General features: G+C 41.4%; 1 long non-coding RNA gene across 1 annotated transcript, besides 3 other annotated features; it reads left to right on the top strand.

Annotated features, from left to right (window-relative positions):
- The first annotated feature begins 9,110 nt into the window (after window positions 1–9,110).
- Window positions 9,111–17,461, top strand: LOC105378043 (uncharacterized). Its single transcript, XR_943097.2, has 3 exons — window positions 9,111–9,546; window positions 13,475–13,530; window positions 17,420–17,461. It is a non-coding gene; the product is annotated as an uncharacterized LOC105378043 (long non-coding RNA).
- Window positions 16,089–16,690: an enhancer, noted in NCBI's record as "OCT4-NANOG-H3K27ac-H3K4me1 hESC enhancer chr6:147759841-147760442 (GRCh37/hg19 assembly coordinates)". NCBI's record gives its function as "activates a minimal SCP1, AML or CMV promoter by ChIP-STARR-seq in naive and primed H9 embryonic stem cells {active_cell/tissue: H9 hESC(naive and primed)}" and the evidence as "EXISTENCE:reporter gene assay evidence [ECO:0000049][PMID:30033119]".
- Window positions 16,691–17,292: an enhancer, noted in NCBI's record as "OCT4-NANOG-H3K27ac-H3K4me1 hESC enhancer chr6:147760443-147761044 (GRCh37/hg19 assembly coordinates)". NCBI's record gives its function as "activates a minimal SCP1, AML or CMV promoter by ChIP-STARR-seq in naive and primed H9 embryonic stem cells {active_cell/tissue: H9 hESC(naive and primed)}" and the evidence as "EXISTENCE:reporter gene assay evidence [ECO:0000049][PMID:30033119]".
- Window positions 25,319–26,085: an enhancer, noted in NCBI's record as "OCT4-NANOG-H3K27ac hESC enhancer chr6:147769071-147769837 (GRCh37/hg19 assembly coordinates)". NCBI's record gives its function as "activates a minimal SCP1, AML or CMV promoter by ChIP-STARR-seq in primed H9 embryonic stem cells {active_cell/tissue: H9 hESC(primed)}" and the evidence as "EXISTENCE:reporter gene assay evidence [ECO:0000049][PMID:30033119]".

Below are 27,870 nucleotides of genomic sequence, written 5' to 3' on the forward strand. Positions count from 1 at the left end.
AGTGGTGCCTTTGTTTTAACCATTTTTGCCTAGTCACAAACCAATCATCATGAACTCACCCATCCTGAGCCCATAAAAGCCTTGGACTCAGCCACACAGGAAGAGAGACCACCTGACTTCAGGCAGTCTGACTTCATGTCCCCTCTCCGCTGAGAGCTGTTTCATCACTGAATAAAATTCTTTTCCACCCTTCGACTGTCATTTTTCTTGGATGTGAGACAAGAACTCAGGATCCACCAAACATGCGTACAAAAAAGGCAATAACACTGTAGCCCCCTGCCCTCCTCTGGTGAAGGGCAACCACCTTATGTGGTGGGAAACAGCAGCATGGCTGAGCCAGCCCTGGAGCCCTGGGCCAGAGTGGGGCGACAGGACTGACTGAGCTGTTAACATGCTACCATCCATCTGGCTGCAGACAGCAGGACTAAAAGAGCTAATTAGCATGCTGTAACCCCCCTTCTGGGGCTTCAAGGGTCACAGGCACCCCTATCTGGGCACCACCACACTCCCCTTGTCTGGACACTGCAGTCCACCGTGGGAGTTGCTTGCAACATGCCTGGTCCAGCCACAAGCCCTGCACGGACCCAGCTCCTGTGCCATTGCTTGGAATGGCCAGCCGGACCCTACATTTGCTCACTCGCACACCCCCTACCACCAGGGGCTGAGCGCACAGTTGCAGTGGCCACAGGATCTGTGCCAGACTGCGAGCAAGGCGCAGCCTGGAGGGCCGAGTACTCGGGGTATCTCCTGTGGTGAGTGTGGGCCCAAGCAAGACTGGAAAAGTGGCCAAGAGAAATCCTGCATCACTTTCCTGGTATTCCTTGTCTCAATAAATGGCACAAGCACAGCCACCTTCCTCAACCTCCCGAATCCCCTTAATTTCAAATTGCGCACATGTGCTGTCACCTTCATCTCCAAAGCTCCTCTATAAGCATCTGCTCCTCTTCTTTGCTGTGGAGGCCTCTACCATCTACCCCTACAACTCTGACAGATGCCCTGCTTCCACTCTTGTCTTTCTATAGCATGTTCTCTGTAGCAGTCAACAAGACATTTAAAAAATGTAAATCAAACCACATTACTTCCTGGGGTTCCCACAATACTTAAAATAAAAGCCAACTCCTGACCATGGCCTACAAAACCCTCTGCGATTTGACCCCTGCCTGCTGCTTCTCTGATCTAAACTCTTGGCCCTTTGCTCTTCCCCCAACTATGCCTAAATCACGCTGCTCATCTTTTTATCCTTGAAAATGCCAAGTTCATTTCTGCTTCTTTCGTTAACTTGTGTATCTTTCTTTCTCCTGCTAGAAGGTAAGCTATAGAAACAGGGACTTTACTGGTCTTGTTTAGCCTTGTGTCTCCAGTAACTAAAAAGTCCTAGACACATAATAGGTGCTAAATAAATAAGTGTTAAATAAACAAATTAGGTCCACACTCTTTCTGGCTTTGTTTTTTCTCAATAGCTTCAAAGATATTGTTCAAAGCCCTATTGTTTTTTTAAAAAGCTATAGAAACTAAAACAAAAGTGTAATTTCCAGATGGATTTGGGTTAAATCAAAAGTAATACAGACAAACATAAATAAATATACTAGAAGAAAATGCTAAATATATGTACAATTATTTAATGGTTGCAATTTTCCTCAGCAACAAAGGAAATTAAAGCTACTAAAGAATAGACAGGAATATTTATCTCTAATACACAGAAAATTTTATTATGCAGAATAAAACACACTTAAATTTTAAAAATTATATTGGGAAAAATATTCAGAGTATGTATGATAAGATTAAAAGTAACACTTCTGGCTGGGCGCAGTGGTTCATGCCTGTAATTCTAGCACTTTGGGAGGCCAAAGCAGGCGGATCACTTGAGGTCAGGAGTTTGAGACCAGCCAGGCCAACATGGTGAAACCCCATGTCTATAAAAAATACAAAAAAAATTAGCTAGGTGTGGTGGTGGGCACCTGTAATCTCAGCTACTTGGGAGGCTGAGGCAGAAGATTTGCTTAAACTCAGGAGGTGGAGGTTGCAGTGAGCCAAGATCATGCCACACTCCAGCCTGAGTGACAGAATGAGACTCCATCTCAAAAAAAAAAAAAAAAGTAACATTTCTAATGTACAAGAAGTTTCTACTGTTGGTGTTATGTACATATAAGTTCACTATTTTACTTTATTTCTACTTTGATATATGTTTGAAATTTATGTTAAAAAAAGAAAACAAACAGAATAAGAACAAGAAGGTATTTTACATTGAGATGATGGGTTTAGAAAATTTTATTTTTATTTTTATTTTACTTTAAGTTCTGGGATACATGTGCAGAATGTGCAGGTTTGTTACGTAGGTATACATGTGCCATGGTGATTTACTGTACCTATCAACCCATCTTCTAGGTTTTAAGCCCCTAATCCCCACATGCATTATGTATTTCTCCTAATGCTCTCCCTCCCCTTGCCCCTCACCCCCCGACAGGCCTCACTGTGTGATGTTCCCTCCCTGTGTCCATGTGGTCTCATTGTTCAACTCCCACTTATGAGTGAGAGCATGCGGTGTTTGGTTTTCTGTTCCTGTGTTAGTTTGCTGAGGATGATGGTTTCCAGCTTCATCCATGTCCCTGCAAAGGACATGAACTCATTCTTTTATATGGCTGCATAGTATTCCATGGTTTATATGTGCCACATTTTCTTTATCCAGTTTTTCGTTGATGGGCATTTGGATTGGTTCCAAGTCTTTGCTATTGGAAATAGTGCTGCAAGCCATTGCTATTGTAAATAGTGCCTCAATAAACATATGTGTGCATGTGTCTTTACAGTAGAATGACTTATAATCCTTTGGGTATATACCCAGTAATGGGATTGCTGGGTCAAATAGTATTTCTGGACATAGATCCTTGAGGAATCACCACACTGTCTTCCACAATGGTTGAATTAATTTATACTCCCACCAACAGTGTAAAAGCCTTCCTACTTCTCCACATCCTCACCAGCATCTGTTGTTTCCAGACTTTTTAATGGTCACCATGCTAACTGGCATGAGATGGTATCTCATTGTGGTTTTGATTTGCATTTCTCTAATGACCAGTGATGATGAGGTTTTTCTCATAGTGTGTTGGCTAAATAAACGTCTTCTTTTGAGAAGTGTCTGTTCATATCCTTCACCCACTTTTTGATGAGGTTGTTTTTTTCTTGTAAATTTGTTTAAGTCCCTTGTAGATTCTGGATATTAGTCCTTTGTCAGACAGATAGATTGCAAACATTTTCTCCTATTCTGTAGGTTGCCTGTTCATTCTTATGATAGTTTCTTTTGCTGTGCAGAAGCTCTTTAGTTTATTATATACCATTTGTCAATTTTGGCTTTTGGTGCTATTGCTTTTGGTGTTTCAGTCATGAAGTCTTTGCCCATGCCTATGTCCTGAATGGTATTGACTAGGTTTTCTTCTAGGGTTTTTATGGTTTTAGGTTTCATGTTTAAGTCTTTAATCCATCCTGAGTTAATTTCTGTATAAGGTATAAGAAAGGGGTCTGGCATATGGCTAGCCGGTTTTCCCAGCACCATTTATTAAATAGGGAATCTTTTCCCCCATTGCTTGTTTTTGTCAGGTTTGTCAAAGATCAAATGGTTGTAGATGTGTGGTGGTATTTCTGAGGCCTCTGTTCTGTTGCATTGTTCTATATATCTGTTTCTGTACTAGTACCATGCTGTTTTGTTACTGTAGCCTTGTAGTATAGTTTGAAGTCAGGTAGCATGATGCCTCCAGCTTTGTTCTTTTTGCTTAGGATTGTCTTGGGTATACGGGCCCTTTTTTGGTTTCATATGAAATTTAAAAGAAATTTTTATGATGTCTTCCAAGTCATTGACTAGAGCTAGAGAAATGGGGCTTGGGAGATGATGGCTAAGGATTTCTTTTGGGGGTAATTATAATGTTCCAAAATTGATAGTGGTGATAGATATATATCTATAGTAACTCTGTAAGTATACTAAAAGCCATTGAATTGTACACTTTAAGTGGTTGAATGGTATTATATGTGAATTAATATCTCAATGAAGGTATTTTAAAAGGAAAAAAAAGAAGCTCCTACTAATTATCAAAAAAATGATATACAACTCAAAATAAGCAAAATATGAACAAGCACTTCATAGAAAAGGTGATTCTGGTGGCAGATAACCTAGAAAGACGTTCATCTTCCCCTGCACTCATGAAAATATAAAAAGTAACAATGAATGGCCTGTTTTTTTACCTGTCAAATGAACAATACTTACAAAAAGTTTTACAGAGGGATCCAGGCTGGAAAAGATTCAGGAAAAAAGTTCTCTTGTGTTCATTGATAATGGGATTTGGGGTATATGTGCTCTCCACCCCTCAAATCTGTGCCAGCCTTAAGTGACTTGCTTGACAAACAGAAAATGGAGGAAGTGACTATATGGGGGTTTCAAGGCTGGGTTTCATTAAGCCTGGCTGCTTCCACCTGAGCTCTGGGACTGCCACATTGGAGAGGCCTCTGTTTTGGAGGTGACACAGAGGTCCTGAGAATACATGGACAGAGAAAGCTGTCTGGCCAGCCCTCAACTGTTTTACCCACAGCCATCGCTGTTTTACCCCCAGCCATCCATGCCATCCCTCTCTGGGCCCAGACACTATGTAGAGCCCAAAACAAACCATTCCCCAATTAATTCTGCTCCAAAAGAAGATTCACTGGGAAAGTCCTTAATTGATTGTTGCTTTTAGCCGCTGCTTTAGGGTAGTTTTTTATGTAGCAATGAGTAGCCAAAACAAGACTGACTTGCTACAACCATTACATAAAGTAACCTGGTAACACTTTAAAATTAAAAGCATAACATCCTTCATAGGAGAAATACTACTCCTTGAAATCTATCTCAAAGAAATAAAAGCATCAGTACATAGGATGCTTATTGAAGCACTTTTGTTGCAGAGAAAAGCACAATATAGGAAAGAGATGTAGTCCATCATTAAAGGAATATTGAATATATTACAATCATGTTTTTAAAAAGGAACAGAGTGAAGTTAGTTGTCTTGGACAGATTTCCACAAAGTAAAAGAGAAAGCAAAATGCAGAAAAGCATGGGAAACAGAATCTTGTTCTTGTAAAACAAAGAAAGAAGGAAAAAGCCCCCAAACATACATCTGCCTACCCTATTTCATTAAATCTCAGATGGTAAGAAATTGCAGTTTCAGAGATGTTAAAATGTGAAAAAAATGACGTCTCAGATTTGACGTAATACAGTCTGTATGCATAGTACATCGACCAAATAAAAGCCAAAAGAGACACAACAGTTTACTAACTTAGCTTGAGAAGCCTCGTGTTTAAAGGATGAGAAAGTCCATAGGGAGACTAACAAAAAAGAAAAAAAAAAAGGCTGAACGTAAAAAGCACACACACACACACACACACACACACACACACACACACACACAATATAATGTTTCATTTCTGTGAAATACATGTGTTTACAAGAAACTATACTGAAAAAGAGATATGTCTAAGATTAACTTGTATGAATGTCCATGAGAAATTCTCCAAAATTCTCCAAAATAAATTCTCCAAAATAAATGAACACAGTATGATTCTATCTGGATAAAAAAAAACAAAACACCTGCATATGCTCATATTGTTATGGGCATGAAGAAGATTATGGAAGATTATACTTTAGATTGGGCATAATTATTCTTTATATAGTCCCACTATAGATAAGCATTATTACTTTGTGATTTTATGAAACTAAATAAAATAAAAATAGACAAAAATTGAGGCATCTTGGACATCTTGCCATATAGCTAAAATACATTCGATTTTTTCATTTGTGTTACAATTGTTTCTGCCAAAAACCATTATTATCATCTCAGGACCATAATAAAGGAGGAAGAGATCTGCTAATTCCTCAGTGATCAATGACAAAATTCAACGAGGCACTCCCCATGGTTTATATATCTTAATGTATTGTCAACATTCTTGTCACCCTAATTACTCAGTTCAAACATTTTTTAAACACTGCTATTGATCATGCAAAAACTAAAGGCTTTATTCAGATCATATAGAAAAAAAATAGTTCCATGTTACTATAAAGAAGAGACTAACATGGAAGTAAATCTGCCCCAGGTGTAACTTAATATTTTGTTTCCTGCATTGGGAGGTCACTAAAAGGCCGCTAAAACTAGAGTCGATTGAGGCTGATTCTCGGTTGTCTAGCTTTCCTGCTCTGTGTGCCGCGGGCAAATCTTTGCTCTCTGAGAAGCTCAGTGGGCCCCATCATAAAAGGACAATGAAAATCCTAGCCACACCTATTGAAGTGATCATTATGAAGACTAAATGTGAAAATTGTGAAAATGTGGGTGAAAACATCTTTAATAAGTCTGGCACCTGAGAATACTTGCTAGATTCCAAGAGTCTTTTTTTTTTTTTTTTTTTTTGAGACAGAGTCTAGCTCTGTCACCCAGGCTGGAGTGCAATGGCATGATCTCGGCTCATTGCAACCTCTGCCTCCCGGGTTCATGCGATTCTCCTGCCTCAGCCTCCTGAGTAGCTGAGATTACAGGCGTGCGCCACCACGCCCAGCTAATTTTTGTATTTTTAGTAGAGATGGGGTTTCACCATGTTGGTAAGGCTGGTCTCAAACTCCTGACCTCGTGAACCACCCATCTCGGCCTCCCAAAGTGCTGGGATAACAGGCATGAGCCACCGTGCCTGGCCCCCAAGAGTCTTATTAAGCAGATAGTGGGAAGAGAAAAGGAGTGAGAATCAGAGACCAAAGTGTTTTCTCAGCCACTGTCTCACTGGGTGACTGTGGCCATCTCAGGTCACCTTTTGTGGACTTGATTTCTTCAGCTATAAAATAAGGGGTTGTTCCGATGATCTCTTCTAGTACCTTACTTCTAATATTTATATTAGGTTGGTGCCATTAAAAGTAATGGCAACAACCATGATTACTTTTGCACCAATCTAATAGAAAAAATTCAATTCTCAAATCTGTAAGTTTAGAAAATTTTTACTATTTGTACATTTGTATTTCCTTTTGGGAAGAAAAGAATTCTTAAATTCTTTAACCATCCCCGTAAATCTAAATATTACTTTAGTTGAATGTACTTTATGCACATAAAGTCACCAAAACTATTTCTTGATTACTAAATGATGATGAAAAGTATTTCACAAGGTCCAGATAACAAATGAAGACAAATGTTTCCATAATCCTCTTTCCTTGAAAGTACATAACCTTCATTTATCTTCAGGGATGACATCTATTCCTTTAAAAATATTTCCTTTATTAGATGCATTTTAGTGTCTGTCGGTGCCTCTTCATGATTCTTACATCTATTATAAACTGCTGAGCCCTCAAATCTCTCAGCTGAGATGCGGTTCTGCTGACTTCCCGCATTCCTGTTGCTGATTGATGGGCTTCTTCCTAATGGAGCTGCCAAAAGATCAAAATGCACAAATTGTACTTTGCCCCTATTAGGACTGTGGTCCAATGGAACTCTTGTCAAATACTTTAATTCACACCTGCCTCTGCCCACTGAAATGCAGGTTTTATTTTATAATAAATAACATGTTTTTATATGAATATAGACTATTGCATTTGTGCTAACTTCTGAGTTTTTTCATCTTGTTTTGTTTGTAACTAATTCAGTATCTTTCTTGACACAGCCTTGTGTATATCACTCATCTGTCAAATACATCCAATGGCTCAGGCCAGATACCTCTGTGATCGTTAGTTTTGTGTGTCAATTTCACTGGGTGACAGGGTGCCCAGATATTTGGCCAAACATTATTCTGGGTGTGTCTGTGAAGGTGTTTCTGTATAAGATATATATTTGAATTGGCAGATTCAGTAAAGCAGATTGGGTCTCATCTGATCAATTGAAGACCCAAATAGAACAAAAAGGCTGAGAACGAGAGAGCTTCAAGCCTCGCCACTTGAGCTGAGACATTGGTCTTCTGCCCTGGAACTGGAACTTACCCCATCAGCTCTTCTTGTTCCCAGGCCTTTGGATTCAAGCTGGAACTAAAACACCAGCTTTCCTGGGAATTCAGTTTATAGACTGCAGATCCTGGGTCTTCCTAGCCTCTATAATTCTGTGGTCAATCTTTATAATACATTTTATTTATTTATTTATATATATATGTATATATATAATCTCCTATTTTTTGTTTTTATGGAGAACCCTAAGACAACCTCCACCCAGGTTTCAAGGTCTTCCTTAATTCAACCCCACCCTAACATCCAGTCTCATTTCAAAAGATTAATATTACTATATGAACAGTTTACAGCATGCCAAGCGCTGTGCTAAGGGCTTTATATGCATCATCTCAATTAATCTGTATAACAGTACCCTGAGGTAGGCCTATTTTTATTTCCCTTAAGAGATAAGAACACTTAGCCTCTGAATAATTCTGGGAATTTAGCCCAAGCCTGCCTGACTCCTAAATCTGTATTATTAGTCTGAGTCTATGCTATCTCCACAACCTGACAAATGAGCCCTTCTACAATCATTTGGCTGAAACTTTCAGTTCGTTTTGGTCTCCATGTCTTAGAAAGGTAATTATTTCTAAACTTTGTTGCATAACAGAATGACCTGGGGGATTTTTTTTTTTTTTTTTTAATATCTAAGGTGCTCAGCTCTAACATTCAGAGCCGCAGTTGTTCTGTGGTGTGGTTCAGGAATCAGTCTTTTAAAGTTCCCAGGTGATTCTAGCAGGCCAGACTGCAAGTCAATATTGGGAATAAGGGCCTTAGGGGTTAGACCAGTGGTTCTCAATCTTTAACCTGTATCAGAATCACCTGGAGGTCCTGTTAAAACACAGGCTGCTGAGTCCTGCCTCTCAAAGTTTCTAATTCAGTAGATTTGGGATAGGGTCCAATAATCTGCATTTGTGATAAGTTTCCATGTAATCCTACTACCAGTAGTCCAGGGACCACACTTTGAGAACCACTGGGTAAAGCTCTTCTCCTTGCTTTAAATATGTTCTTTGTACCTTCCTCAAATCCAAATTTCTGCTTATCCTTAAAGCCAACTTCTCCATAAGGCCAGCCCACTTTGGAACTTCCGCTCCTTCCTCTTCCGCTTCCTGCAGCCTCTATTTACCCCGTGTCATCCAAGCTGGCAGGTTCTGGCAGCCCAGGTGAACAATGCATTCTGGCTGTTTTTGTTCTTTCCTGTGATAGCAGGATGTCTAACTTCACAGTTAAAAAGCCCGATAAATCTGTTTAGGAGCTGCCTGGTATGTCGATGTGTACACATGCTCTCAGCCACAGCGGAACCCCCCCTTCCTCTTCTCCCATTTATCTGCCCCAGTCTCTCTGAGGATGCTATGAAGGCTGTCTGGACGTGGCTCAGAAAACTGCTGTGAAGACCGCAGGGAGCACAGGACGGCCGAGTCCCCAGCGCTGCCTGTGCCAGGCCTGGCCCACCTGCTGCTGGCACTAGGGACTCAGCACTTTGCGGAAGCTTGGGTATGACAGCCCTCAGTCGACGTCCCCACTGGCTAATTTCCACACTCTGAACCAGACCCCTCTCCCTGGGAGCGAGGAGTGAACCACAGGTATGCTCCATGTGACAGAATATTGTGTGTCCTGACCCTCAACCCTGAAACTTTTAGGCTGTGACTGATACTTCACTTAGGGTGCATTCTTTCTTACAAGCCACGTTGGTCCCTCTTGCTAATAGAATTCCTGAAAAGACCACCCCACTAATTCTCCAAACCCAGCTACGCATGTCTGAATCAGAGGATGAATAATGCAGCTTAGGCATTTTTTTTTTTTTTTTTTTTTTTTTTTTGAGACGGAGGCAACTCTTGCTGCTAGGCTGGAGTGCAATAGCGTGATCTCGGCTCACTGCAACTTCCGCCTTCCAGGTTCAAGCAATTCTCCTGCCTCAGCCTCCCGAGTAGCTGGGACTACAAGCGTGCACCACCATGCCCAGCTAATTTTGTATTTTTAGTAGAGATGGGGATTCTTCATATTGGTCAGGCTGTTCTCAAACTCCCGACCTCAGGTGATCCACCCACCTCGGCCTCCCAAAGTGCTGGGATTATAGGTGTGAGCCACCGTGCCCAGACAGCTTAGGCTCTTGACGGGACTCAAACCACACATAACGCTTCAGAGTGACTCTTTCAAAAGAAAAGAAAATTCCTTGAAGTTAGAGATTATTCTTTGTAGTGTAAACTTTTTGCTCCTTACATTTGGCCTACAATGCCAAGAATAACATTAAAAGGTGTGAAGTCATCTCATAATCTGTCCCCAGTTTACACCCCAGCCCTCCAACACCTTCCATTACTTTCCCTCCTCCACTCCCCAAAATCACTGCACTTTTCTAATCCTTCTCTTCCAAGGCCAACTCAAATGCCTTTACCTTTATGACACTGGCTCCCCATCCCACACCCAACAGATTTCTTTGCTCCTTGGTCATCAGTTTGGGAGCCTCCTCTATCACTTGGAGCCCAACCTCTTTCTACCCTTCCTCTCCCAACCCACCCTCAACCTCTGCAGACCACGCCTGCCCCACAAAGGAGGCTATAAAGACTGGTCTCGACTCTCAGGCCAGGCTCCATCCTCCTCCTCTCTGAGGTCCTGGGAATGAGCCTATAGCTCAGAGACTTGAGGGTGCAGGCAGGGGATTGTCCCAAGCCAGGGAGAATCTCCACTCTCCTACTTGAGGCCATTGCCTCAAAAGAACTCTTTGGCTCCCTTTGCCAATTGCTAGCCCCTAGAGGCAGAGCCTTCATTCTGGATCAGATGTTTTGCTCTCCACTGCCTTTCAGACCCTTCTTAGGTCCCATGACAGACTTCATTGATCAGGAACCCAAACCTCGAAATCCCCAAACCAAAGGTCATCCCTGTGCCCCTCACCACTGACTTCAATTTAGTTTCATAATTAAAGACATTTAAAATTAGTTTTGCATGGATCTTACCAACACAGTTCAATCCATATTCTTTCTGCTTATATAAACATACAACATACATGTGTATGGCTATGTCAATGTATGTCCAACAGCCAAGAGTTTAGTGTTTGGGTTATTCATATCAGCAGTAGATAGAATATGGTAAGTCTTTCTTTTAAATTGAATTGGGTTTGCATAACTTGTGAACCCTCTTCCTTTACATCATTCTTGACCCAACTATTGCCCTTTTGTTCCTAGGCTAGTAACTGTGTCCAGTCCTTAGACTTATGCTGTGTACTTTTCTGTTGTCTTTCCTCCTCTATCACCAAGCTTTGAAGTCTCTTCAGATTTTAGGTCTCTATTTGTTCTGCAATTATTATTTGAGATGAAGTCTCACTCTGTCACACAGGCTGGAGTGCAGTGACGTGATCTTGGCTCATGGCAACATCTGGCTCCTGGGCTCAAGTGATCCTCTCACCTCAGCCTCCAGTGCAATCATTTTTAATTCACAATTTTGTTACCTGAAATATAACTCCATATTAAAAATCCCTCTCATCATACTCAGGACTCTGACCTTGCATCCTAAAACTTACCAAAGAAAACTTAAAAATACCAACATCTCAGAAGCTCTTTCTTTTTCTTTTACCGTCATTGCACTTGACTATATCAGGATGGGCTGAAGGATGACAGCAGATCTCATAACACGGGCTAGAAATTCAGGGACTGTGCATTCTGGTTGTGGCTTTGACGTTCGCATATTTATAACCCCAGGGAAATTATTTGAGCTCTTTCTCTGGTCCATGACATACTTGTCAAGTCATGTAGGATTTATGATAAATGTCATGTGTGATCTATGCTAGATGCTGAAAACTAAACATGGGCTTATCTTCTTAGCAGGATAAAATAATTAGCACATTCATTTATTAGAGCAGTAGTTTCTCCCAAAATTGCAGCTCTCTGAATCCCAACCAAATCGGATGCATTTGACTTTTAAGTAGGTGTCCTCACGCATAGCCAGGTTTGAGGAAGCTTGGAATTACAGAACAGGCTTGAAAACTGCTTCTGCAATGGAGACCGACCATCCATCTTTAAAAGAAATTAGTTCAAACTTTTGTCCTCCTGCCTAATTTGTCAGTAACTACTGAAAGATGGCCATGTGTGAATCATCGCAGACATGCCAAGTCTTGAGCCCTTGCAGTTCACAGCAAGATCTAGGCTGTCAGCTGCTCATGCACATTCTCGTGGAACCAGACATGAGGGTTTGACTTAACCCAGTTCATTGGTATGCTTTGTTTAAAAGAAAACTATAAAACGAGGAAGAGAGAGTCAGCATTTTCTGTTGTATAGCTTTCTGTTGTATATTTCAAGACCTCAAAAGTTTTGGATACAGTGCAATTTCACAAACTTATTACACCACCAAAAAGAAGAGTCTCTTAAAAGAAAAAGACCTCAGACATGGATGTGTGCCTTTGCATACCAGGTTGTAATGATATTTCTCAGCAAATTCACCACTTCTTAGATAACTGTCTGCCAGAAAAAATAAAAATTACTGATGAAAACAGACTTCCCCAAAAGGATGTATTTTAAAAATGTTTTTCCAGCTGTGCCCACTCCCACCCTCCATCCTGCCCTTTTGTGCACTCTTTTTTTCTGCTTCCTCAAAATAATACTTTGAGCTAGTGGCTTAAAGGACACCAGGACTTTAATGTCTTCTAATGCAACAGAATCATGAGTTCTAAGGAATATTTGTAATTGGCAAATTTTCCTGGGTCAAGTTGCCCAGTCCTTGAAATCCCCCTTCCCAAATCAAGAGTTTATTTTGAAATCTGTGTTCCTCTAATAACTCAGTCAGTTCAGACTGGGACTATAATCTATGTCTTGGCTTAGGAGCAAAACATTTTCTTAGAGTCATAGGACTCTTAATTGTAGTGTTGGGTTCCCTGATTTCTATCTGACAGTTTACTTCCCAAATATCCCTAACATTTGCCTCCTCACCTCCTTTCCCAAAGCTTCTGCTTTGCTTCAGACACCCCACCTGGCTCTTTACAACAGCCTTCTAATTTCTCACTTTTCTTTCTAGGACATCCTGTATGCTACAGCCAAAGTAATCTGGTCTCCTCTATACACATCTGACTGGGCTAGCCTTTCCTTAAAATCTTCTCAAAAACTCCCCAACCTCCATGGCAAAGACTTTCAACATGTTTTATGTTCCAACACATCTAAGGAAAATCATGAAGGAACACATCTAAGGAAAGCCATTATTGCTAATAATGGTGGCTTTATGGTCAACTGAGTAGAGTACAGTCTCCAAGCTGTTCATGAGCTTGTGCTCATTCTCGTACTATGGTTTGAATGATTGACCCCTCCAAAACTCATTTTGAAATTAATTGTCATAGTGACAGTGTTGGGAGTTGAGAGCTTTAAGAATTATTTAGGTCATGAGGGTTCCTCCTTTATGAATGAGTTAATGTCATTACAGCAAGATTAGGTTCCTTACTGAGGGAGTTGGGTTCACCCTCTCTTGCTCATGCTCTCTCCCCTTCTCTTTGTCCTTCTGCAATGTGACGTCCTCTACCATGTGATGATTCAGCAATGCCCGAGACAGATGCTTCCACCTTGATGTTGGAATTCTCAGCCTCCAGAACCGTGAGCCAATGCATTTCTGTCTATTATAAAGTTCCCAGTCTCTGGTATTCTGTCATAGCAATACAAAAGATACTAAGCACATTCCTCCTTTCTAGTCCTCTGTGAGACTCATTTAGCCACTCATTTCTAATAGCTTTCGGGTTGTAGGGGCTGCGCTTGCTGCTATATTGGGGTTTTCCAGGGAACAGTGAGTTGTATTTGAGACTGGGAATCTTTCCCATGGGGAATTCTTTAATGTCAACAGAATAATTCAGGATGAAATTGGAAGATTTATTGTGAGACTGGGAGAAGGTCTTGGTGGAGCTAACTGTGGAGGACTGTGGAGGACTGGGAAGAAGGACATATGAACTTTATTTGGAGATTGTTTTCTTTACACCAACTTTCCATTAAAACAAAAGATTTAAAAATGAGATAAATTGCTAAAATGAAAAACTAAAATAAAGCAAATATAGTGAAAGAGAAAAAGGATAAAATAGATTAAAAATAATAAGAGATTATGTCAAGCAATATCCTTAAGCTGATTTAAATAACTTAAAGTGACCGAGCGCAGTGGCTCACACCTTTAATCCCAGCACTTTGGGAGGCCGAAGTGGGCGGATCACCTGAGGTCAGGAGTTCAAGACCAGCCTGGCCAACATGGTGAAACCCAGACTGTTCTAAAAATACACAAATTAGCTGGGTGTGATGGTACACACCTGTAGTCCCAGTTACTTGGGAGGCTGAGGCAGGAGGATTGCTTGAGTCAGGGAGATGGAGGTTGTAGTGAACCAAGAGCATGCCACTGCACTCCAGACCAGGCGATGAGAGTGAAACCCTGTATCTCATAAATAAATAGCTTAAAGTTACCAACAACTTCTCAGAGGAATGGAGGTTACCAAGTTTCTTGGATGTTTTTAGGGGAGCAGTTGTTTAGTCTGGAAAGTGGGTACTGTTTATTCTTTTTTTTTTTTTTCTGAGATGGAGTTTCACCCTTGTTGCCCAGGCTGGAGCACAATGGTGCAATCTTGGCTCACTGCAACCTCTGCCTCCCGGTTTCAAGCAATTCTCCTGCCTCAGCCTCCCAAGTAGCTGGGAGTACAGGCGCCTGCCACCACACCAAGCTAATTTTTGTATTTTTAGTAGAGACTGCAACCTCCGCCTCCCAGTTTCAAGCAATTCTACTGCGTCAACCTCTCGTGTAGCTGGGATTACAGGCGCCCACCACCACGCCCAGCTAATGTTTGTATTTTTAGTAGAGATTGCAACCTCCGCCTCCTGATTTCAAGTGATTCTCCTGCCTCAGCCTCCCAAGTAGCTGGGATTACATGTGCCCACTACCACGCCCAGCTAATTTTTGTATTTTTAGTAGAGATGGGGTTTCTCCACGTTGGCCAGGCTGGTCTTGAACTCTCCACCTCAGGTGATCCACCCACCTCGGCCTCCCAAAGTGCTGGGATTACAGGCATGAGCCACTGCGCCTAGCCCCGGGTACTTCTTATTCTTTTTGGCTTCTTATTTAGTATGCCTATCAGGCATCTGTATTTGAATAGTACCAGAAGGTAGGCCTGGCTAATTCTGTGTTTGAGCTAAAACAAACTACCATGCTAGGGTAGACTCAGCCTCTCCCTTCGTCCAGGCCACTCAGACACAACATCTGGAAATGACTGCATGTTTCTGAAAAGAATGGAAAGCAGGCCGGCAGCAGACACTAAAGAGCCATTTAAATTTATTCTGGAAGAGTAATCAACTCCAAACTGCAGCCTAAAGCTGTGAGCTATGGGCACATTGAAAGTTGATGTCATCATCTCCTTCCTTTGCATCTATGAACTGAGAGTCTTTCCTTCTATATTAAAGCAAAAAACAGAACACGGGACCCTAAATAGATTTGTGCTATGATCCTGATGGCTGCATGTCATAGTACGTGTTCTCATATGTACTAAAGCACACAATGAAATTATTTTACAAAAATACTACCACTCATTGTGATCAAATTACTGTCTCAAAAATGGTAAGATATAGCAAGAGCATTTCTGCTTTCATCTTCAAACCTATGTCAACCATTTCAACACTGTAAACTTGGGGACTGTTTATCGACAGAAACATAGTAGTGTCATCTTGTATGCAGAGCCCACGACAAGACACCCCAAGGGCACATCTTTTGGGGAAACCAAATTTAACATCTTTCTCAGTCAAGATGACCCTATCCATTGAGACTTCCTTACTTAAGTATCTTAAAAATCGTAGCCTTATATTAAATGTAAACCCTTCCTCACAATTCTAATGCCAAAATCACTCACCAGTGAGACAGCAGAACCAACAAAGGATGCAAGGACCTTCAGAAAAATTGCCTTGTAGAATTGACCAACCCACCTCATTACATTTGAAATGTAAGCATGGGTTGGCATTTAGCAAAACTTTTTTTTTTTTTTGAGACTAAGTCTCGCTCTGTCACCCAGGCTGAAGTGCAGTGGTGTGATCTCAGTTCACTTCAGCCTCTGCCTCCTGAGTTTAAGCAATTCCCCTGCCTCTGCCACCCGACTAGCTGGGATTAGAGTCATGTGCCACCATGCCCGGCTAATTTTTGTATTTTTAGCAGATATGGGGTTTCACCATGTTGGCCAGGTTGGTCTTGAACTCCTGGCCTCAAGTGATCTGCCCGCCTCAACCTCGCAACGTGCAGGGATTACAGGCATGAACCACTGTGCCTGGCCTAGCAAAACTGTTTTTAAAGGACTGCTGGTTTACTAGCTACTTGAATATAGCACAGTTTCTGGTGTGGGGCTGCTCTCAGTGAGAATAAGTAGGCACGTAGCTAGTTTCATAAAAGGGAGGGCCCTGTGGCTCACCGCTCTCCCCAGGCAGCCTGGGGAACAGGACCTGCACCGGCCCACCTTGCGGCTGCTACTAGGAGCTAGTGGAGGGCTTGCTGGGCCTTCCTAGACCAGGAAAAGAAACTTAATTAACCTTTAATTAGGCAAAATATATAGGTGTAAAGTCTTATGCTATAAAGCTTTACTAAGACCAATCACAAGGAGGTCACATTTTCACACAAAATTGTTTGAACTAAACCAAAAAGGAAAACAAAACCAAACCAAAAACCCTGAATCTTCTTGAAATGACAACACTCCTTAAAGGCTAAGTGCCTTGGATGGCCATATATTTGCATAATGACTTGCTTTTTGTTCCTTTGTTTGTTCTCACTAATTGCTTTAGAATACCTCTTTTACTCTGCTCTTTGTCATCTTGATAGAGCCCAGTCCTTTGATATGGACAATGGGATCCTTAAAGGCGCAGTGTAAAAAAGGAAGCCTGGCCTGGCCTGTGGAGCGTGGGAGAACCAGAGCCTGGAGGAGAGGACTAGATGGATCCCTGGAGTTTTCCCTTTAGAGCTTTCTGGTTAACATCAAGAGAAAAGGAGTTAGAGGATTTGGGGAGAACTTAGACCTGAATACTTTTCTCTCTCTGGACTTTAAGGTCCTCCAACTATGAGTGAATAAAATCTCCTAAATTGCCAGAAACCAACTGGTCCCTGACTCCACCAAGTTCCCTGGACATCTATGAGTCTAAGACTATAGTTAGGATGGTTCTAAGACTGGCAGTAACTTCCCACAAATTCCAAATGCAACTGCACTGAGCTCACACAGGCCAGGCCCAGGACATCAAACAATGTTTGCTGAAGAAAGAACTCTTCGTAACTGACGATCTTTTGTCCTAAATTCCGGCCTAAGCCTTGTTATTTTGATATTTGGTTTATTAGTCCATTCTCACGCTACTGTAAGGACATACCCAAGACTGGGTAATTTATAAAGGAAGGAGGTTTAATTGACTCACAGTTATGCAGGGCTGGGGAGGCTTTAGAAAACTTACGATCATGGCAGAAGGGGAAGTAAACACATTCTTCTTCACACAGCAGCAGGAGAGAAAGTGCAGAACGAAGGGGAGGCAAAAGCCCCTTATAAAACCATAGATCTCATGAGAACTCACTATCACGAGAACAGCATAGAGGTAACTGCTCCCATGATTCAATTACCTCCCACCAGATCCCTCCCATGATACGTGAGGAGTATGGGAACTACAATTCAAGATGAGATTTGGGTGGGGACACAGCCAAACCATATCATTTGGCTTCCTTTCCATTGGCCTTGGCAAACCCAGTAAAATCCCCTCTGGCCCTACCTCTCTTGGTTGTATAACTGTCAGGATTGGAGATTAGGCTTGCCTCATTCTTGCTACAGGCTGTCTTGAAGATAAAAAACTATGGCCCTCATCTTGTCTTTGTCCATTATTCCTGTTTTTGTAAGTTCACGAGAAGCCCAGGACTACTTACTACTAGGTGACCATGCATCACCACATGAGTCTGTACATCCCCTTAACCAAACCGTGACCCACACAAACAATATGAATCATATGACACCAGGACATCCTATGTAGACACACTTACTCTCACTGTCTTAGTCTGTTCTGGCTGCTATAACAAAATACCATAGACTGGATGACTTATAAACAACAGAAATCTATTTCTCACAGTTATGGAGGCTGGGAAGTTCAAGATTAAGACACCAGCAGATTTGGTGTCTGTGTGAGGTGGGGGATGCTTTATCGTGGATGACCGTTTTCTCACTCTAATCTCACATAGTGGAAGGGCAAGTGGTCTCTCTGGCCTCTTTTATAAGGCCACTAATGCCATTCATGAGGTCTCTGTCTCCATGACCTAATTATTTCCCAAAGGTTCCACCTCCTAATACTATTACCTTGAGGATAAAGATTTCAACATATGAATTTCAGTAGAACATGAACATTCAGACCATAGCACATACAAACATATCATGTACACATACACACATATACTATGCACACATAGGTACACCACACACACCCAAAACCACACCATTCACATATGACAACACTCAAACACATCCTACATACCATATACACATCACACATAACATGTCTACAAGTACATACCACATGCACACATATGCTTGAAACAACAGATTCATAAAGCTGGACTTCATTCTACTATCCACTCATATTGTTTATGTAATCCTGTTTTATTTTTTAAAACTACTAATCACAATGTGCTAAGTTGATTCCACAAAATGCTAATATGTGGCAACTTGCAGTTGGAAAACCACTGTCCTCATGATGAAAGAAGCCCATTATCAGCAAGAACATACCTGTGTCCATGGCTTCTCTTCACTTTCATCGCACCTGAGCCTGGCTCTCCTTTGAAGACATCATGCTTCTGCCAACACTCTCAAGTGGAGATGGCCTCCTCTTTTACCACCTTTGTTCCACTGCTCCTTGAGGTGTTCCTCTTGTTTCTCTTTGCTGTTTCCAGATTATTCTTCATCTGTCTTCCTTAAAAGCCTCCACTTTCATCCTCACATGTTATAGAGTATACACCCAATACTTTTCTCTTTTGTTTTTGTCATTGTCTCTCCGTTGAAGTTTTCAGCCCTTGAAGATTTTAGCACAGCCATGCAATCTAGGACCTCTTCCATGATAATTCTTTGTGATGTCCATAAATATCTGTTCAATGACTGAGTGAACTGACTTTTTCTTGGTTTGATTTGGGTGATCTCAACTCCATAGGGTATACTGCAAATGAGTCTAGCTGTTACCTGTGGATTTCCTACTCTAAGACAGCCTATCTGAGCCTAAAGGAGTGTTTCCCAAACAAGGCCATATTAGAGCTTTTTCAGTTTATAAAATATGCTCTCCGTGTCACCAGAACTCAGTCAGGCACAATGAATGCTGGGAACTGCAGCAGCAAGTCTAATACCAGATGGCACAAGTCAGCATGTATGACCCTGTGAGCCTTTAACTGCATTTCATTCTTCATGAGGATTAGGTCAGGAACTATGCCAGACAAGTTTGCAAGTGCCAGTCCTCCAGCTGAACAGGATCTGCAAAAGAGCAAGCTTAGTTTTACATGAATCAAGATGGATTTTTCTCTTGGGTTTTTATTTTTGGCATTTTAGGATTATTATTATAAAGGTCAATAATAAGAGCAACTGCCTGTCAGTTACCTGGCACCGTGCATGGCATTTTTCATATATTATGTAATGTAAACCTCTCAATAATGACAGAAAGTAGGAGATTATTATTCTTGACTTAGAAATGGCCAGTCAGTCACTCAAGTAACAGCCTGATTACAGATGTGCTTAGCTGATTAAGGATGTGCTTAGCTTGAACAAAACAGGACAAACAAGGGGCAGAAGGAGGCCCTGAAGGTGAAGGACAAACTCTGCAGTCCTCTACCAGGAGGGACTTGGCAAATGCTAGTGGAAAGAAAGGCAGGAGAACATTTCTTGAAGGCCTTCAAATTCCTGAGGTTCTCCAGTCTCCCTTTTCTAAGTGGGGGACACCTGCTCTCAGCTGTGTGCCACAGGACAGAAGCAAAGCTGGGAAGGTCATGCCTCTGTCTTCCTACTATAAGGCACTCAGGAAGGAGCCCCAGGGTTGGCATTTTAGAAGCCTTATTGATTACCACCCAGATGTGTCTTTACCCTCTCCCAGTGAAACATGCTCACCCAAAATTCAGACCAATATTTAGATATTCATCGAAAATATGCTTGTAATTTTAAGTCTGTAGGCTTTTTTGTTTTTTCTTTAGACAGAGTCTTGCTCTGTTGCCCAGGCTGGAGTGCAATGGTGACATCTCGGCTCACTGCAACCTCCACTTCCTGGGTTCAAGCAATTCTCCTGTCTCAGCCTCCCGAGTAGCTGGGATTACAGGTGCGTGCCTCCACACCTGGCTAATTTTTGTATTTTCAGTAGAGACGGGGTTTCACCACGTTGGTCAGGCTAGTCTCAAACTCCTGACCTCAGGTGATCTGCCCACCTCAGCCTCCCAAAGTGCTGGGATTACAGGCGTGAGCCACTGCACCTGGCCAAGTCTATAGGCTTTTACTAACTTAGTAGTTTGGTGACACTTGAAAGGGATTCCTCACATGATCCCTTGAGCCCAGGAATTTGTCGTGAACTGCATGCTTGTGTTCCCCTCTCCAATATTCATATGTTGAAACTTTAACCCCCAAAATGATATTGACAAAGATGGTGTCCTAGGGAGGAATTAGGTTTAGATGAGGTCATGAGGGTGGGGTGCCCTATGATGGGATCAATGCCCTTATAAGTAAAGGAAAAGAGATCAGAGTTTTCCTCTCTCCACCATGTAAGGATACTAGATGATGGCTGTTTGTAAACCAATAAGGCAGCCCTTACCAGACACCAGATTTGTAGGCTCCTTGGAATTCCAAGGATTGTGAGAAATAAATGTGTACTGTTTAAGCCACCCAGTCTATGGTATTCTGTTATGGCAGCCTGAACTTACTCAGAGAGTATCTCAGGCCCAAAAGGGAGACTCAGTGTTTTTATCTAACTGGATTCCTCATCAGTTATAATGATGGAATTAAAGTTCAGAGCAGTGAACAAGGTTTTTCATGGCATGGCCAATATAAATAGCAGAGGAAAACTGGAATCCACGTACTTTCTGCTGTCACCAGCATAGACCAGCTAGAGCAGGTAACTGCTGAAGATTCTTTGTGTAATTAGATCTTCAAGATTGCTTCATATTTCTCCCTAAAGTAAACTTCCCTCCGGGCGCGGTGGCTCACACCTGTAATCCCAGCACTTTGGGAGGCCGAGGTGGGTGGATCACCTGAGGACAGGAGTTCGAGACCAGCTTGACCAACATGGTGAAACCTCAGCTCTACTAAAAATGCAAAATTAGCATGGCGTGGTGGTGCATGCCTGTAATCCCAGCTACTCAGGAGGCTGAGGTAGAAGAATCACTTGAACCCAGGAGGCAGAGGTGGCAGTGAGCTGAGATCATGCCATTGCACTCCAGCCTGGGCAACAAGAGTGAAACTCCGTCGCAAAGAAAAACAAGATATAAAATAAACTTTCATTTTTGGTGCCAATTAAATGGGTGCAGTTACTGAATCCATCTGAAATAACAATGGATCCTTAAAGAATGCCTTGAGAAATCTTGAGACTTGTTTCTGAAGTTAGGCTTTAGACTATTTCTCCCAGCAGTACAGACCAATCCTTTCCTGGGAGGTTTCTGCACAGTGACAGGATAATGTTAAGGGAAGTGACACAAAAGGGAGAATCTTACATATTCATAAGCAGCTTCTAGCAATGTCAGAGAGGCTGTTATAATCATGCTGGTCTTAATAAGCTTGTTAACGGACCTATAGAAAACAACTGTAGCAGTTATTTTGATCAATTATGGATATACCACATCCAGAGTCTTTTCATCTTGCCCTCCTGGATGTTGGTGAGTGCTTTTATAAATACCATAGTAAGCAGAGGCAGCTGGCTCTCAACTGACTATTGTGTGAGTAATTGGCATCACCAGATACCAGGTGATTTGATCTGTCATGATAATGTCTGTGCACCATTTGAATGAAATGAAGTAGCACATTTACTCAAGGACGGCTTTTTTCTTACTGAATCTTCAAAAACAACGTGGGTAGAACCCTCCATAGCCCAAGCGGGTTGTAGAATGTGTCTAACATTTAAAAGGATGATTGAGGGGATCCTCAGAAGAGTGGGTCAGTAGAGAGTGGAGAAACTAGATGGTTTTATGGAGGAGTTCCTGCTCGGGAGACGTCCTGGTTGGGTAGGTGATGGTGGTGTAGAATGGTGCTGAGGGTATCATCTACCCTGTGGCTGACTGTGCGGAGCATCCAGGCTCTATGCTGAACTTTCAGCCTGTGCCAAGTGTCAGGTGTATCCTTCACACTACTGGACATATGATTCCTGCCTGCCCATCTGCTCCTACACTCATGGGGGCTTGTTGTAGAACAACTGAATTAAACCCTCAAGCCTTGGTTCTGGCAATTTCTAGACTTATCGTCCATACCTTTAATAACCCAATGTACCTCATAATTTAGTCTATATTCCAGAAGCAATACAAAGACCTGGAGCTTCTTACCTTAAAACAAAACAAACAAACAAACAAAGAAGAAGCAAATCCTCAGCATAACTAGAAGATACAAAACTCTTCAAACTTCAAATTACACACAAGTAGAAAATTGTGCACTGAGTTCTCAGCAGTGCCTTCTCTGAAGCTCATGCCACAAACCCCTGCAGAAAGCAAAGGAGAGGGGAGGGTCTGGAAAAACTAGATGGAACAGTGAAGAGAGGGTTGTGCTGAAATCATTCCCAGAAAAAGAAAGTCTACTCTAAGTAGTAAAATAGTGAAAAAAGGAAGGGAGTTACCAATATAGGAAGAATGAAGAGTAGAATGAACACTGTGCTGCAGGATTGGAATTGTCAATATCCAAATAAACTTATGGCTTTTAATGGATGGATAGATAGATAGCTAGATACATACGTGGATAGATAGAAACAAAAATACATATATTAGGTTGGTGCAAAAGTTAATTGTAGTTTTTCCCATTACTGCTAATGGTAAATACAGCAATTATTTTGCACCAACCTTATATATATGTATATATGTATGTATAGTGTGTGTGCATGATAAACACCTACATGTATTTCCTATTTCTGTCCTTTTAGAGGCCCTAGAAGCAGCAATACTCTGACAGCAATTACCATATCTAATGCTCACATTTCGGTTTTAAATACCCTTTTCCACTAAAAGGGACAAGACTTCTCAGCAAAATGACTGAATCCAGGGCTGTGATTGGGAAAGTATAAGATTAATCTGGAATATCTTGTGACACTGAAAAGTAAGTGCGTGCTTAGAGGATGATTGGGGACCAGTCAAAAAGATACAGGTGATAAATCAAAGGCCACATCTGCACACCATGACACCGTGGACAAATGGACACATGGATACACAAAAAAATAATGATAGTAACAGATAATATACCACTGAATAAAATAACTCATGAGTTCATACTCATATAAATGAATATATAACTAGGGAAGAAAGAAAGCCCTTTGTTATTGAAGCTCTTAGATGCCAACTAATAAACATAGAAGGAATGATGGAATTCGAATTTTGCTATTTGACACCATCATAGTAAACATCCTGGGTTAAGAAGTATCAATGGATGTTAAAACCAGTAGGTTAAAGTTTGACAAGGAAGAGAACATTGACATAGTATCAAAGCATCTTCTATAAATTACTTAATAGTTAGAAAGAGAAAATAATAACTTAACAGCAGGGAAACCTGGCTGGCAGACACCACCTTAGCAAAGTGATCAAATCATCATTCCTGAGGTATCCCTGCCAAAAATGCAAAATCAAGAGAAAACATAAGAGAAACCCCAAATGAGGAACATCTACAAAGTAACTAGTCTTTACTTTTCAAAAACATCAAGGTCATAAAAGACAAAACCACATTTTTTAAAGATAAGTAGCTGTTCCTGATTATAAAAGATGAAAGAGACATGACAACTAAATGTAATATATAATTTCAGTTTGGATTCTGGATCAGGAAAATAAAATTATTTTAATTTCTTCTTTTCTTTTTTCTGTAAAGAGCATTATTAGGACTATTGGCAAAATCTGAATACAGTATCTTGTTTAGATGGTGACATCAATATTCATTCTGTAATTTTGATAATTATACTGTCACATAAAAGAATGTCCTTGTTCTTAAGAAATACATAATGACATTTTTAGGGTAAAAAGATAATGAGAACGCAGGTGGGGCAAAATGTGAACAATTGGAAATGATGTACTATTCTTGCATCTTTGCTATAAGTTTGAAATTACTTGAAATTTCAAAGTTATAAAATTGAACAAAAGCTTAAAGATTCCACTACATGTAAAGTGCCTAACAGCAAGGCTGACCAAGAGCTGTCAAGCTTTGGCAAAATAAGTAAATAAGAAAACTCAATTTCTAGTGAAGTAAATAAACATGACGCAGTCATAGAACTAAAGGAATTGCTTTATTTTTTTCATTTTGTTTCCAATTTGATATGTTAGAACAAATAAAATTCTCTTCTCTAGAATACTGAGGAATAAAGATATTAAACCTCTGTGATGCGGAGTATTCCACCCAGGTTCCCTAGGATGTTATCAGAACAGATGTGTTCATTGTCCCGGAGCATCACAATAACTAAAGTGGAAAGATAATCTCCATGCAGGATCTCGGATAAAGGTGACAGAAGAAAGAGATCACAGCATCTCCCATCCTAAACACCTATAGAAGTGAAAAAGAGAAGGGCTCCTCTATCTTGCCCCCAGCCCCCAATTATCAGTAGAGCATTCATAAGAAAAAAGGAGAGACTTACCCTTCAAATTCCAAAGTCTGACAAGCAGAGAAAAAGAAACGTTCTGGCACAGCGGGGCATTCTTAGAACTCCGAAGTGGCAATGAGGAAAGATTCCTTTATAAACCCTTAAAGAATTGTCAAAATACCTTGCCAATTCTACCTGTTCCCCTAGCATGCTCCCACTTCCACACACTCCCTGCAGTATCCTGATTTGTAGAGAAGTAATCTAAAGGGCTAAGTAAGCAGACTGGAGAAAAGTCAATAAAAAAACTTCTAGAATCTCAAAAAAGGTAGGAAGTACTACCCATTCTTCCCAGTTCCTGAGGTTCTTGCTCAACTGGGGACTGTTAAACCTCCTGCATGGATGGGTAGGCACTGGCCCAGGACATCTAACAGCACAGCACAAGGCTTCTAACAAGGAGCACATCCAGCCCCCAAAGAGCCTTCCCTGCCATGTCTTGCACGCTCAGCCCACAATCAAGTACACACAAGTCAGTTCTTCATAAGTAGCTCAGGCTATATGTAAGGTGGGGAGAGATGAAGTTTCCAAAAAAAGGTGGGGAAGGACATCAGGGAGAATTCACCCACATTATGCAAGAGCAAAGCAAAGGTCTGAATACAGCTGCTCAGGTTAAGCAGGAGCAAACTGACAAGAAATGGCACGGCAGCTATGTGAATGAAACCACCCTTGCAAAAGTTGTATCAGTGAGAAACTTAGTAAGCTAAGCTAACCCAACCCCTATCTTGCCTTTCCCTTAATTATTCCTGGGCTACTGGGCCAAGCTAACTTCGGAAGACATTTAGGGTACCGTTTAAATGATAATGTTGTAGGAGTTATTAAGAAATTATTTTAGGCAGACAGAGAGGAAAAGGGGTCCTTGGGAAGTTTCATTTTTAAAGCTGCTCCAGAAACGTTTTTTGTAAAGCCCTGGCTCTTAGAGCCAGGCTGGCAACCTTTGATATGCAAATGCAGGCCATTAGAAACTGGGTCCACCCAAACATTGCGATTACTGCTGCCTTCTTGCCCTTGCCGCACGTGGCCGCCCCCACATTTCCCCAGAGTGTAGAACATCCTGTCGCCCTTCATTTGCATATTAAAAGGCCAGGGTGGGACGGCCAGCTTTTTCACGGACTATGTGAATGACATGCCTATTCAAACCAATCCCCTGAGCCCTATGCAAATCAGACACCGCCTCCTCCAGCCTCTGTGTATATACCTGGCTGGTAACCCTGGCAGGTATGGTTCCCTCTCTCGGCTTTGGAGCCCCCCTTCCTAAGTCTCTGTACAGAGGAGGTTCTTCTTTCTTTCTTCCCCCTTCCTTCTTGCTTGTTAAACTCCCTCCTCCTTAAAACGACTCCACATATGTCCACGTCATTTTTTCTAATTTGACTCGAGACGAAGAACCTAGTGTTCTCCACCCATCAGAGCCGTATCAATGATAGGCCTTGCCCAAAACTCAATCGCTTTTGTAAAGCTAATAGGAGGCCATCAGGCTGAGGGGAGGAGAGGAGCCTGCGTCCTGCTAAGGTGCAGACAAGTATTCCGGAGGTTATAAGATATGCAACTTCCCCCAGTTACTCCTGCAAATACCACCACTGCTGTAGATCGGACTTTGGAGATACCTTTCCAGGTTTTCTGCATGTCTGACACCCATGGCTCCACCTGGAACCGATGACTCCACCTGCAGAGACAACCCCGCTCCTGTGGCTCCACCCTGAAGCCATTCAGCTGGCATGAGGAGAGCATCAACCCCCTATGATTTCGTCTCTGCCCCAACCAGTCAGCAGCAAGCCCCTGTTGCATGGCCACCCCCACCCGTTCCCCCAAACTGCCTTTGAAAAAACCCTAACCTATGAGCTTTGAACAAGATGATTTGAGTAGGAACTCCATCTCCCATGTGGTGTGGCCAGCCTCATGTCTGTTAAACTCTTTCTCTACTACAGCTGGAAAGGAGTCCGGATCCAGACCCCAATAGAGGGTTCTAGGATCTCACACAAGAAAGAATTCGAGGTGAGTCAATACAGTAAAGTGAAAGCAAGTTTATTAAGAAAGTAAAGGAATAAAGAATGCCTATTCCATAGGCAGAGCAGCCCTGAGGGCTGCTGGTTGCCCATTTTTATGGTTATCTCTTGATTATATGCTAAACAAAGGGTGGATTACTCATGCCTTCCCTTTTTAGACCATATAGGGTAACTTCCTGTCATTGCCATGGCATTTGTAAACTGTCATGGTGCTGGTGGGAGTGTAGCAGGGAGGACAACCAGAGGTCACTCTCGTTGCCATCTTGGTTTTGGCGGGTTTTAGCCAGCTTCTTTACTGCAACCTGTTTTATCAGCAAGGTCTTTATGACCTGTATCTCAAGCTGACCTCCTATCTTGTCCTGTGACTTAGAATGCCTAACCTCTTGGGAATGCAGCCAGTAAGTCTCAGCCTCATTTTACCCAGCCCCCATTCAAGATGGAGACATTCTGGTTCAAATGCCTCTGACACTATGCTGTTTATGCAGTGGGCAGGAAGAACCTCTTCAGCAGTACAAAAACATGCCACAGAAATGAATAAGGAGAGAAGGAAACACAGCATGATAGTAACACTACAAATATTATATATGTTTATAATATTTTATATACAGCTTAAAACAACATTTATAAAACTAGAGCTGAAAAATAAGATGATATAATTGAGAAGAAAAACTTTACGGATCATAGGAAACATTGAACACAGTTTTACAAAGTTAATAAATGTATTAAAAACGGAGAAGAACAGATAGACACAACTAAAAATTGAATTCCTAGTGTGGACAAAAGCCATGAGAGAAAAGCACATCATGATTATAAAGTCAAGGAAAATTATGAAAGCGATTAGTAAAAAATGATAGTTCTGGGACTAGAGAGTCAACATAAAGACAATAGTTATATCTGAAGCAGAGAAACAAATAGAACAAAGAAAAGATTTTTTAAAAAGTAATCTGGGGAAATTTTCCTGAAATCAAAACAGACACACTGAATATACAGATTGAATATACAGATTGAAAAAAACTGAATATACAGATTGAAAAAAACACTGTGCACTGTATTTTGAGAAAAACAATAGCCAGATTAAATTATTAAAAATCAAGGATGAAGTAAACATTCTTTAGACATACAGGAAGAAAAAATAATT

The sequence above is a fragment of the Homo sapiens genome, chromosome 6 (assembly GCF_000001405.40).
Source record: "Homo sapiens chromosome 6, GRCh38.p14 Primary Assembly".
Lineage (NCBI taxonomy): Eukaryota > Metazoa > Chordata > Mammalia > Primates > Hominidae > Homo > Homo sapiens.